The sequence below is a fragment of the Homo sapiens genome, chromosome 6, assembly GCF_000001405.40.
Source record: "Homo sapiens chromosome 6, GRCh38.p14 Primary Assembly".
In the NCBI taxonomy this organism is placed as follows: Eukaryota; Metazoa; Chordata; class Mammalia; order Primates; family Hominidae; genus Homo; species Homo sapiens.
The window spans coordinates 111,005,054-111,018,602 of record NC_000006.12 but is presented as its reverse complement, the minus strand read 5'-3'; the positions used below and the strand labels follow the sequence as shown (position 1 = coordinate 111,018,602).

The 13,549-nt window shown below is 43.6% G+C and overlaps 1 protein-coding gene, 1 long non-coding RNA gene and 1 pseudogene across 3 annotated transcripts in view, besides 1 other annotated feature; 1 reads left to right on the top strand and 2 right to left on the bottom strand.

Annotated features, from left to right (window-relative positions):
• Positions 1–13,549, bottom strand: part of RPF2 (ribosome production factor 2 homolog) — a 46,226-nt gene that overhangs the window by 9,661 nt on the left and 23,016 nt on the right. For both annotated transcript variants that reach the window (NM_032194.3, NM_001289111.2), the window contains 2 exons: positions 10,466–10,565; positions 2,747–2,849 (listed from right to left, as the gene is read on the bottom strand). In NM_032194.3, coding sequence (NP_115570.1) covers positions 2,747–2,849; positions 10,466–10,565 — 203 coding nt within the window. The remainder of the gene's footprint in view (positions 1–2,746; positions 2,850–10,465; positions 10,566–13,549) is intronic.
• Positions 1,363–2,007: an enhancer, noted in NCBI's record as "NANOG-H3K27ac hESC enhancer chr6:111337799-111338443 (GRCh37/hg19 assembly coordinates)". NCBI's record gives its function as "activates a minimal SCP1, AML or CMV promoter by ChIP-STARR-seq in primed H9 embryonic stem cells {active_cell/tissue: H9 hESC(primed)}" and the evidence as "EXISTENCE:reporter gene assay evidence [ECO:0000049][PMID:30033119]".
• LOC124901375 (uncharacterized) lies at positions 5,015–8,382 on the bottom strand. The gene is made up of 2 exons (XR_007059705.1): positions 8,340–8,382; positions 5,015–6,771 (listed from the first exon to the last, which is right to left on the bottom strand). It is a non-coding gene; the product is annotated as an uncharacterized LOC124901375 (long non-coding RNA).
• RNU6-906P (RNA, U6 small nuclear 906, pseudogene) lies at positions 10,227–10,333 on the top strand (annotated as a pseudogene).

Sequence of the window (13,549 nt, the reverse complement as noted above, 5' to 3'; positions counted from 1 at the left end):
ATCAGCTAAGAGGTGAATATTTAAGTTTCATTTGGACATTCATAGGACATAAAGCTGGTCAGTCATGTATTTTCATTGTGAAGAAAACAAAATAAAAACGATGTACAAAATGCTAGATACAAATGGTTGGACAAACAACACTACTGTACAGAAGACACTGTCAACACCAAGCTGTCAGCTCTCAGGCTGCAACACCAGCCACACCATAGCTCAAAATGTACAGCAAAGTCTAAACTCAATGTACAGAGAAAGGCAATTTGTGGGAGTCAGTGTATTCTTTAGGAAACTGTGGGCTCTGTCAGCCAGTACCAACGCCTTAAAAAAGAGAAGTCACACACTTATCTCAAGAACCACAATTGCCCTCTCCCTCTCCCTCTCCCTCTCCCTCCCCCTCCCCCTCCCCGGTCTCCCCCTGATGCCGAGCCGAAGCTGGACTGTACTGCTGCCATCTCCGCTCACTGCAACCTCCCTGCCTGATTCTCCTGCCTCAGCCTGCCGAGTGCCTGCGACTGCAGGCGCGCGCCGCCACGCCTGACTGGTTTTCGTATTTTTTTGGTGGGGACGGGGTTTCACTGTGTTGGCCAGGCTGGTCTCCAGCTCCTAACCGCGAGTGATCTGCCAGCCTCGGCCTCCAGAGGTGCCGGGATTGCAGACGGAGTCTCGTTCACTCAGTGCTCAATGTTGCCCAGGCTGGAGTGCAGTGGCGTGATCTCGGCTAGCTACAACCTCCACCTCCCAGCCGCCTGCCTTGGCCTCCCAAAGTGCCAAGATTGCAGCCTCTGCCTGGCCGCCACCCCGTCTGGGAAGTGAGGAGCGTCTCTGCCTGGCTGCCCATCGTCTGGGATGTGAGGAGCCCCTCTGCCCGGCTGCCCAGTCTGGGAAGTGAGGAGCGCCTCTTCCCGGCCGCCATCCCGTCTAGGAAGTGAGGAGTGTCTCTGCCCGGCCGCCCATCGTCTGAGATGTGGGGAGCGCCTCTGCCCTGCCGCCCCGTCTGGGATGTGAGGAGCGCCTCTGCCCGGCCGCGACCCCATCTGGGAGGTGAGGAGCGTCTCTGCCCGGCCGCCCCGTCTAAGAAGTGAGGAGCCCCTCCGCCCGGCAGCCGCCCCATCTGAGAAGTGAGGAGCCCCTCCGCCCGGCAGCCGCCCCGTCTGAGAAGTGAGGAGCCCCCCCATCCGGCAGCCGCCCCGTCTGGGAAGTGAGGAGCGTCTCCGCCTGGCAGCCGCCCCGTCCAGGAGGGAGGCGGGGGGCAGCCCCCGCCCGGCCAGCCGCCCCATCCGGGAGGGAGGTGGGGGCGCCTCCGCCCAGCCGCCGCCCCGTCCGGGAGGTTGGGGGCACCTCTGCCCGGCCACCCCTTCTGGGAAGTGAGGAGCCCCTCTACCCGGCCGCCACCCCGTCTGGGAGGTGTACCCAACAGCTCATTGAGAACGGGCCATGATGACGATGGCGGTTTTGTCGAGTGGAAAGGGGGGAAATGTGGGGAAAAGATAGAGAAATCAGATTGTTGCTGTGTCTGTGTAGAAAGAAGTAGACATAGGAGACTCCATTTTGTTCTATACTAAGAAAAATTCTTCTGCCTTGGGATGCTGTTGATCTATGACCTTACCCCCAAGCCGGTGCTCTCTGAAACATGTGCTGTGTCCACTCAGGGTTAAATGGATTAAGGGCGGTGCAAGATGTGCTTTGTTAAACAGATGCTTGAAGGCAGCATGCTTGTTAAGAGTCATCACCACTCCCTAATCTCAAGTACCCAGGGACACAAACACTGCGGAAGGCCGCAGGGTCCTCTGCCTAGGAAAACCAGAGACCTTTGTTCACTTGTTTATCTGCTGACCTTCCCTCCACTATTGCCCTATGACCCTGCCAAATCCCCCTCTGCGAGAAACACCCAAGAATGATCAATTAAAAAAAAAAAAAAGAAAGAAAAAAAAAAAAGAACCACAATTACAGCATGTCATTAACTCTTTAATAAACATAGAATCTGCTTAAGAGTTTTTTGTTTTTTGTTTTTTCAGCGCCCTCACTCTGTTGCCCAGGCTGGAGTGCAGTGGCACAATCATGGCTCACTGCAACTTCCACCTCCCAGGTTCAAGCGATTTTTGTGCCTCAGCCTTCTGAGCAGCTGGAACTACAGGCATGTGCCACCACGCTGGGCTAATTTTTCTGGTTTTTTTTAGTAGAGATGGGGTTTCGTCATGTTGGCCAGGCTGGTTTTGAACTCCTGGCCTCAAGTGATCTGCCTGCCTCAGCCTCCCAAAGTGCTGAGATTACAGGTGTGAGCCACCATGCTCGGCCTGCTTAAGATTTATATTTATATTGTGGTAGGGGTAGAAGGCCTAGGCTAGAGAGACAGAGTGAAATGAATCTAGCCACTGAATCTTCTTATTCCTTTTAGACTCAATTGTTAAGACTTAGGGTTTTGAGATTTGCTTTGCCTAGCCAAGGATTTGTGGCTTAGTGCTGTAAATCCAACCAAGAACAATAAAGAGATGCTGCATAAAGCTAGGAAGGGTTGGTGCACCTGGCTCAGCGACAGTGCAGCATCAGATGCTCTGGGGCACTGGAAAAGTAGGGTTTCAGAGGCAAAGGACTGAGGATCAGCACAGAGCTGCTGTCACTGCTATCCTGCCAACTCTCCAAGAAACCTTTTGGCCAGATACCAATTCTAAGTTTGGGCTCTAAAAAACAGTCACACAGTTTTAAACACTAACCCTGAGGATTAAGAAAATATGTGAAGAAATGCACTTACTTATAGCTTCGAAAGTAAATCTTCCCATTCAGTGCAGTGAAGTGCAGAACATACTCTAATCCAGCCAGGCGGATATTTGATACTGTGGGGCCTCTGAAGAAATCTAAAAGCACATATTAAATTATTAACAAAACAAAACAAATACTTGCAAAATTCAGTTACAAAGAACTGCACTCTAAACAGTTTTGCTCCAATACTTATCTAAAAAAGCACAAAAAATGATTCCTGAAAAATGTCTGAAGGTCCCACCCCTTAAGCATTTAATCTCATGACTTTATTTTGGTATTTTGGTGTTCAGTTCACTGAGACATTTAATGTTTCTGTTTTGAAGTTCTTCCTCTGAGTCAGCTCAGCATCAAAAAATCATATCCATTAAAAATACTAACTTTTAAAAAATGTAAATCAAAGCATAAAATTTTAATCTACTGGTAGATGAAGATAGCAAATTTCTATAAAAATGGCTGTTCAAATTGACTATTAAAATCAAATTAGCCTTAATTTTTTTTTCTATGAGGGAGGCCAACAAGAAAAAAACTCTAATAAGAAATCTTGATTATATGAACAAAGGATAAGAAACTTTATAAACTGTTAATGCCAGAAAAGAACCTTGCATATCAGTGATAGTCTTTTTTCTCACAAAGTGGTAATCATACCACCGGTGGCACATGAGAGCATTTTAATGATACAAAGCCAGATATAATTTACTACGTATTTATTTTATCCTGTACCATTCTCCATTTACAATAGGGACATAAAATTTCCTTTTAAAAAGAGTAGTCAGCCATGCACAGTGGCTCATGCCTGTCATCCCAGCACTTTGGGAGACTGAGGCGGGCGAATTGCTTAAGCTCAGGAGTTTGAGGCCAGGCTGGGCAACATGGTGAAACCTCATCTCCACTAAAAGTATAAAAAATTAGCCAGGTTGTAGTCCCAGCTACTGGAGAGGCTAAGGTGGGAGGATTGCTGATCCCACCACTGGACTCAGTGAGAACGACAGAGCAAAACCCTGTCTCAAACAATAACTTAAAAAGAGGAGTCAATTAAAAGAAAATCTCCAGTGAACTGCACGCTAAGGATACTACACAGACTTGGCTATGAAAGAAGTTTGGAAAACAAGTGTGATATCTTAATTTTACAGCTGAGAAAATCGAACCTCAAGGAGGCTAAATGGAAATTCATGAATAACATTTGGCTAAGATAAAAGGTCTATATAAAAGTTTATCCAAGTTTGCTTAGGAAGAGCTGCCCAAGGCAGGTGATGTAGTAAGTGGGAAATTCTGTTCTAGTCCCATTCTGTAGCCACCTAGCATTTTCCTTCCTGCTTCCCATTAGCCCATAAGATGCAGATTATCTCCATGTGCACAGATGAACGCATCTTTTGTTGTCTGCTTTTCCTTTCTTGTGCTTAACCAAAAGAAAATCACAGGCCAGGTGCAGTGGCTCATGCCTGTAATCCCAGCACTTTGGGAGGCCGAGGCGAGCAGATCATGAGGTCAGGAGATCAAGACCATAGGGGCTAACACAGTGAAACCCTATCTCTACTAAAACCACAAAAAATTAGCCAGGTGTGGTGGCAAGTGCCTCCCTAGCTACTTGGGAGGCTGAGGCAGGAGAATCACTTGAACCTGGGAGGCGGAGATTGCAGTGAGCCGAGATTGCGCCACTGTACTCCAGCCTGGGCGACAGTGTGAGACTCAGTCTCAAAAAAAAAAAAACCCAAAAAACAAAAAACACAGCATTAACTTGTATAAAACAAACACAAGTGGGCAGGCACATTTATACACCACCCTCCTCTACTCCCCCAAACAAGAAAAAAAAAAAACTAATGAACATTTTTAATTTAAAAAAAGTACATATACTACATATATTTATACATATATTATGTACGGATGGGGTCTCACTATGTTGCCCAGGCTGGTTTCGAACTCCTAGACTCAAGCACTCCTCCTGCCTTGGTCTCTCAAAGTGCTGGGATTACAGGTTTGAGCCACCACGCCTGGCCTGGGACATTTTTATAAAACAAGTTTGTACTTTTCAAGATATTTTAATCTAAATATCATAATAAAGAGCTTTCCCATGATTTTGCCAAAGCCTGACTCTCCTTCAGTGGCCAAGTTAATAAAGCTCACTCATTGGTGTGGCATTACTGAAGTCAGAGTACTTCTGGGAAACGAAATATGTACATTCCAGTCTGCTCTGAAACAACTTTCATAATGCAAAATTTTCAGGACATCTGTGCTTTGGGAGAAAACTTTAGGAACACAATAAGCACATGGAAAAGTACTCTTTATTAAGTCAAAATTTCTAAGACTATGAATATAAAAGGATTTTCAGTCTGTATCCAATAGTTCTAACCAGCCATCCTTTTATTACAACATTTTCTCTTAACTGCCAAACTGAAATTTCACTAAAGTTTGCAAATCATCAAGGTAACACAAACAAGTAATGAATGAAAACGGGAGGGCATAAATGGTAGTACTTAGTAACCGGAAAGCAAATATGTCTAACAGCATGATATTTTCTGGCTAGAACACAACAGAGTATTGTTTACACATGAATACCATTGGCAAGAATCCATTCACTTAATAAATTGTACCAGAGCACCTATTATGCAAAGTGATAAATGACATATAGCATTTTTCTATCAGGGGCCCTGCATTCTAGGTAGATATGAATACATACAAACAACTGCAATTTAAAGTAGCACATTAAAAGGAGAACAGTATAAACCATTCTGGAAGTTCTGAGGAGAGAAAGATCATTTCTAGTTGGGAAAGACGTCATGCAAGTGGTATATACACTGTTAGGATTTTGACCAAGAAGTATGATAAATAACTTTATGAACTTGATAACCTAAAGTATAATAATACTGTATAAATAAAAGCATGGCTGGGCACGGTGGCTCATGCCTGTAATCCCAGCACTTTGGGAGGCCAAGATGAGTGGATCACCTGAGGCCAGGAGCTTGAGACCAGCTTAGCGAACATGGCGAAACTCTGTCTCTACAAAAAATACAAAAATTATCCAGGCATGGTGGTGAATGCCTGTAATCCCAGCTACTCAGGAGGCTGGGGCAGAAGAATCGCTTGAACAGCTGATGCGGAGGTTGCAGTGAGCCAAGATTGCTCCATTGCACTCCAGCCTGGGTGACAGAGTGAGACTCCATTTCAAAAAATAAACAAATAAGAAATAAAAGCATGTACTTTGGAGAGACCTAAGTTCAAAACTTTAATATGCCACTTGGTAAATGCATGACCTTAGAAAAGCTACTCACCTGTCCAGGCCTCAGTTTTCTCAATTGTATAATGAAAATCAGAATTAAAAATTCCTCTACTCCAAATTTTTTTAAACAACCATATATATAATATGCTACCATTTAAGAAGGGAAGAATAGGCCACGCATGTTGGCTCACACCTCCAACTTTGGGAGGCTGAGGCTGGAGGGCTGCTTGAGCCTAGGACTCTGAGACCAGCCCAAGCAATGCAGCAAGACCTCATGTCTACAAGAAATAAAAAAAATTAGCTGGGCGTGGTGACGTGTACCTGTGGTCCCAGCTACTGAGGGGAATGAGGTAGGAGGATTGCTTGAGACCAGAAAGTTAAGGCTACAGCAGTGAGCCATGATCATGCCACTGCACTCCAGCCTGGGCAACAGAGTGAGACCCTGTCTCAAAAAAAGAAAAAAAAAAAAAAATGATGTAAACAAATTAAGAATGAACAAAATGGGTATCTTGCATGAAAAAAAGTTAACTTTTCTTTCTGGTCAATTAAGAAAAAAAAAAAAAAGGAACTTCCTAAATGAAAGCCCTTCATACATTTCTTGCTCCCTACTGATATTTCATTTGAACACACAACATAAACCAAAGAGCAGTTGTTTTACTTCATATTTATACTGAAAACTCAACTTCCCTTGGTGCCCTACAGTCTGAATCTGTTCCTCTTCTACCTTTCTGCTTCTGTCCAGATTCCTTTTTGGTTTTCACTCCCTTCCCCTCACCACTGCATTATGTGATCATTCCTGCCATCTAGTGGAAGCACAAAATAATGAGAAGGTGGGGCTTATTAAAATACAAAAAACATTTAAACAAATGCAAACAAAAGCTCTCTCTGTTATAACAAATTGTAAGTATCTGCCTCACTGACAATAAACAATTATATGGGAGACCTAGGGGAAAGAGAAAAAGGCAGAAAATCTAGGTCAATGGAGTACAAGTAATGGAAATCTTAGCTGAAAATCTGGCTGACATTTTGGCTGGAAAAATACCCTTGACCAGGCACGGTGGATCACACCTATAATCTCAGCACTTTTGGGAGGCCAGGGCAGGCAGATCACTTGAGGTCAGGAGTTCAAGACCAGCCTGGCTAACATGGTGAAACCCAGTCTTTACTAAAAATATAAAAAATTAGCCGGGTGTGGTGGCATGCACCTGTGGTCCCAGGTACTAAGGAGGCTAAGGAAGAGAATTGCTTGACCCTGGGAGGTGGAGGTTGCAGTGAGCTGAGATCATGCCAGGGCAACAGAGTGAGACTATGTCTCAAAAAAAAAAAGAAAGAAAGAAAGAAAGAAAGAAAGAAAGAAAAATACCCTTGATAATTTGGGATATATAATATTGAGAGAAGGAAATATTAGTCATTGTCTTTCATGTATGAATTTAATTCATGGAAAATATGGATAAGAACCTATAAAGATTCTAGAAGGGATCATGGGAATATGTTTACCACAGGCAAGATGGACAGTAGGGGAAGAAAAGCTCAGGCTTTGGAAGCGTTGGGTTTCAACTTGGCCTTACCTACTTAATAGCTCTCATTTAACTTCTCAGAGCCCCTGTTTGTTTTCCCATCTGTGAAATGGGAATGTCATCAAACTCAAGAACTTTTGTAAAGATTAAACAGATAATAGTGGTTCTTAGTTTCTTTTTTAAAAAGTAGCTATTACTAATACGGGAAATAAATTCTAAAAATTATAATCCCAAGAATGGGTGACGTGTTTTTTTTTCCCCTAAAAATTATAATCCTGACAATAAAGACCATAAATAATCCCAAAAAGGGAAAATGAAAGCAATGTATTTGTCACAGTTTTTTTGGTGGGCTCAGATTTGTAAAGCATGTGCATACAACGTAATTTTATACCCCATCAATTTTTCAAAAGTGATCTACAGCAAAGTATATAAAAATTTAAAACAAGGGTAACAAGAAGTGTAGCATAAGCTTGTAAGCATGGTGCAAGAAAAGCTCAAATGGAATAAAGTAGACAAGGCCACTGAGCATCAGATGGAGGCCTCGCGGCTGTCAACACTAAGGTGAAATAGGACCATAAAGGACTGCTGCTTTGAGAGTATCAGTGTACTGTGCAGGAAAAGCTGAATCTCTCAATCCCCATGAGGGAAAAGAAGCAAAAAATTCAGTAAGAAGATTTTCTTAAATTGGAGAGAGCTAGGTGTGGTGGCTCATGCCTGTAATCTCACCACTTTGGAAAGCTGAGGCAGGTGGATTGCTTGAGCTCAGGAGTTTGAGACCAGCCTGGGCAATACAGGGAGACCCATATCTCTACAAAAAATTAAAATAAAAATTAGCTGGGCATGGTGGTGTGAACCTGTAGTCCCAGCTGCTCAGGAGGTAGAGGACTGCTTGAGCCCAAGAGGTCAAGGCTGCAGTAAGACGTGATCACACCAGTACACTCCAGCCTGGGTGACAGAGCAAGATGCTGTCTAAAAAGAAAAAAAAAAAAGAAAAAAAAAAAAATTGAGGGACAGAGAGACAGACCCAAGACCCTTTAAATTAGTACCAATCTCTTGGAAAATTAAATTACTTTCCAGAGTTATAAAAGAGCTGGCAAATATAATTGCAGAATGCTAAGTACTAATAACCTTTTAAAAATCATGGAGGCTGGGTGTGGGGGCTCACACCTGTAATCCCAGCACTCTGAGGGCTGAAGTGGGAGGATTGCTTAAGCCCTGAAGTTCAAGACCAGCCTGGGCAACACAGTGAGACCCCATCTTACAAAAAATTTTAAAAATTAGCCAGGCATAGTGGCATGTGCCTATGGTCCCAGCTACTTAGGAGGCTGAGGTGGGAGGATCACTTGAGCCTGGGAGGTTGAGGCTGCAATGAGCCATGATTGAGCTACTGCACTCCAGCCTGGGCATCAGAACACGACTTGCCTCATAAAGGAGAAAAAAATAGAAAAGGATGTAGTCCTTATATTCATTACACAAATCATTTAGAACTAGCATAGTTTGCTAGGTGTGGGTTATCTGTAGAACAACCTCACAAGGTTCTTGTTAGAATGAAGCAGTGTATATGAAGTGCCTACTATATGCCTGGCACTTAGGATGATGATGGTAATAAAGTAAAAATGAGCCAGGGCCTGTCGCAGTGGCTCATGCCTGTAATCCCAGCATTTTGGGAGGCCAAGGAGGGTGGATCGCCTGAAGTCAGGAGTTCAAGACCAGCCTGGCCAACATAGCAAAACCCTGTCTCTACTAAAAATAAAAAAAAAATTAGGCCTGGCGCAGTGGCTCACACCTGCAATCCCAGCACTTTGGGAGGGCGAGGCGGGTGGATCACGAGGTCAGGAGATTGAGACCATCCTGGCTAACACAGTGAAACTCCATCTCTACTAAAAATACAAAAATAAGCTGGGCATGGTGGCAGGTGCCTGTAGTCCCAGCTACTCGGGAGGCTGAGGAAGGAGAACGGTGTGAACCCGGGAGGTGGAGCTTGCAGTGAGCCGAGATCGCGCCACTGCACTCTAGCTTGGGCGACAGAGCGAGACTCCGTCTCAAAAGAAATTAGTCAGCATGGTGACGGGCACCTGTAATCCCAGCTACTCGGGAGGCTTAGGCAGGAGAATCGCTTGAACCCGGGAGGTGGAGGTTGCAGTGGGCCGAGATCACACCATTGTGCTCCAGCCTGGGCAACAGAGCAAGACTCTATCTTTAAAAAAAAAAAAAAAAAAGGAGCCAGGAAGGTCACTGAGGGCTTCCCGGAAAAGAAACTTGATGATCTGACACTTAAATGAATAGTAGAAACTGGATAAATAAGAGCAATATCAGAATACACAATAGAAATGTGAATAATATATTGGCAATAAACCCTTTCTAATGGAAAAAAAGAAGGCAATAGGAGATCAAGAAGGCCAAGCTACATTGGTTATATATTGTGAAAGGCCTTGTATATTCAACTCAGAAAAACTAATTAAGGTTTTTGAGTTGGAAGTCGGTGATACAAACAATCTTGAAATTTTAATCCCTCAACTTTCTAAATTTAATTTTAAATGATGCTAGGAATGACAGGAGATGGGTGCAGGAATTTTATAAAACACTATACAAGTAATACCTAAGTTACTAACACATCCAGAAATAATCATCTACACAGTACAACAGCTGCTTTAACTCTCCCGAGATACTTAGGTGCTTTCCTGCTGCTGGTAAGGGAAAAAAAAAAGAGAAAGGTCCAAAAAAAGGAGGAAAAAGAAGTTGTGCTCGCTTCGGCAGCGCATATACTAAAACTGGAACCATACAGAGAAGATTAGCATGGTCCCTGCGCAAGGATGGCATGCAAATTTGTGAAGCACTCCATTATTTTAAGTATATAAATATTATTTTTAAAATAAGAGAAAAAAGAAGTTACAAACCTAAAGTAGCAAAGTGCCACCAGTGAGAGTCTGAGACTGTCTTCCTGAGCTACCCTGAAGATAATAAATACTAAAATACTTACCAATAAGAAGACTTTTTAGTCTTCTATAATCTTCTGTTACATCGAAATCATCGCCAGCAAATATCAGCATGGGTTTTGTTCCCTCAGGACATTTACTGTTCTAAAAAAAAAAAAAAAAAGCAATTATATAATTACCAAAGTCTAAACTGTTTATATATTGATTTTGTTTTTTATTTTTATTTATTTTTTTTGAGATGGAGTCTCACTCTGTCATCCAGGCTGGAGTGCAGTGGCACAATCTCAGCTCACTGCAACCTCCACCTCCCGGGTTCAAGCAATTCTCCTGCCTCAACCTCCTAAGTAGCTGGGACTACAGGTGCACACCACCATGCCTGGCTAGTTTTTTTGTATTTTTCTTACAGACTGGGTTTCATCATGCTGGTTAGGCTGGTCTCAAACTCCTGACCTCAAATGATCCGCCTGCCTCAGCCTCCCAAAGTGCTGGGATTACAGGTGAGAGCCACTGTGCCTGGCCTATACTGATTTTAAAGTAGTCAATACTTTACACTAATTTATTTTCACATTTTATTAACTGTTCCAAAATGATGTCTGTGAATACTGATATTAGAGGCAAAAACAGAGGTGGGTTTTTTTTTCTTTTTAAAGAGACAGGGTCTCGCTGTGTTGCCTAGGCTGGACTCAAACTCTTGGGCTCAAGGCATCCTGCAAGTAGCTGGGACTACAGGTGCAGGCCTGGCTAAGATGACATTTTTAAGCTTCTAGACTTCTATACTAAAAAAAAAATTATTTGTTCCATTCATTTACATTACCAAATAAAAGATGGCAAAAGAATGATGTAAAGGGCTTTTTTAACATTAGTCTACGCAAAGAATAAAATTAAAAGTTACTCTTGCAAAAGGAAAACAAAACAAAACAAAACATAACACAACACAACCAACCAAGCAACCAAAATAGACTTCTGATGGCCAGCAACCCTGAATCAAAATAAATTTAAGGCCAGGTGTGACGGCTCATGCCTATAATCCCAGCACTTTGGGAGGCCAAAGCAGGAAGACAGCTTGAGGCCAGGAGTGAGTTCAAGACCAGCCTGGGCAACACAGTGAGACCTCATCTCTACAAAAAACCTTTTTTTTTTGAGACGGACTTTCACTCTTGCTGCCCAGGCTGGAGTGCAATGGCGCTATCTCGGCTCACCGCAACCTCCACCTCTCAAGTAGCTGGGACTACAGGCATGTGCCACCACGCCTGGCTAATTTTGTATTTTTAGTAGAGATGGGGTTTCTCCATGTTGGTCAGGCCGGTCTCGAACTCCCGACCTCAGGTGATCTGCCCGCCTTGGCCTCCCAAAGTGGTGGGATTACAGGCATGAGCCACTGCAACTGGCCAAAAAAAACTTTTAAAAATTAGCTGGGCATGCTGGTGAGTGCCTATGGTCCCAGCCACTCGGAACGTGAGGTAGGAGGATCGCTTGAGCCTAGAAGGTGGAGGCTGCAGTGAGCCATGATCGTGCCACTGTACTCCAGCCTGGGTGACAGAGTAAGACCTTGTCTCATGAATAAATAAGTTTAATTATAATTTATTTGTACCACTGTGCCTTTCCCACTATACCCTATAAAAAGTATTTTAAAATGAAGGCTATGGGCTGGGCACAGTGGTTCACGCCTATAATCCCACCACTTTCAGAGGCAGAGACGGGGCTGATCACTTGAGGTCAGGAGTTCAAGACCAGCCTGGCCAACATGGTGAAACCCTGTTTCTACTAAAAATAGAAAAAATTAGCTGGGCGTGGTGGTACACGCCTGTAGTCCCAGCTACTCCAGAGGCTAAGGTAGGATAATCGTTTGAACCCAAGAGACAGAGGTTGTAGTGAGCCGAGATTGCACCACTGCACTCTAGCTTGGGTGAGAGCGAGATGCCATCTCAATAAAAAAAAAATGAAGGCTATAGGCTAGGTGTGGTGGCTTACACTTGTAATCCCAGCACTTTAGGAGGCCAAGAAGGGCAGATCGCTTGAGCCCAGGAGTTTGAGACCAGCCTGGGAGACACGGTCTCTACAAAAAAATACAAAACAGGCTGGGCACGGTGACTCACCCTTATAATCCCAGCACTTTCGGAGGCTGAGGCAGGCGCATCACTTGAGGTCAGGAGTTTGAGACCAGCCTGGACAACATGGTAAAACCCTGTCTCTACTAAAAAACACAAAAATTAGCCAGGTGCAGTGTGCCTGTAGTCCCAGCTAGTCGGGGCTGAGACAGGAAAATTGCTTGAACCCAGGAGGTGGAGGTTGCAGTGAGCTGAGATAGCGCCACAGCACTCCAGCCTGGGCGACAGAGACTCCGTCTCAAGAAAACAATAACAAACAAACCAAATACAAAACAATTAGCCAGGTGTGGTGGTGCACATCTATGGTCCCAGCTACTTGGGAGGCTGGGGTGGAAGGATCACTTGAGCCCAGGGAAGTCCAGGCTGCCATGAGCCGTGCTCTTGCCACTACACTCCAGCCTGGGATACAGAGTAAGACCCTCAAAACAATAAATAAATAAAAATAAAATGAAGGCTAAATTAAACTACCAGCTGGACATTCACATGAGAAGTAATATAATTTTACATAAGCTATAGAAAGTATAGACCAATTCTCATCAGCAATGTTGAAACTCTTACTATAAAAAGTATTTTCACCAGTTGTAGATTTTCTACACCAAATAGAATGTGATGTGATTAAAAAGAGGATTTAGAAGCCACCAAAGAGGAAAAAATGAAATAGTAAAAATTCTTTAACTGGATGAGTAATTTATGGAGGAAGGTGAATGACTGTTGGTCTGAGCTTCCTATAAATTCTCTGTTCTGACCAAAAATCAAGAACTATCCAAAATCCAGCAACAAAAGAAAACAAAAAAAACAGTACAAAAACCAAACACCCTCTGCCCTAGGACCAGAGGTCACCTGTTGCTTTGCTGCTCACCATGACCACTCTTGTTGACATTCTCTACTTCCAAACCCGGAACCTTAACGGTCTATACTTAGGAGATGGAGATGTGCCTAACATCTGTCTGTCTGATACAGAAGCTGAAAGGACGTTCCAGATCTAACAAGTCTTCCATGCTTCAACCACGCCAGTCTGAC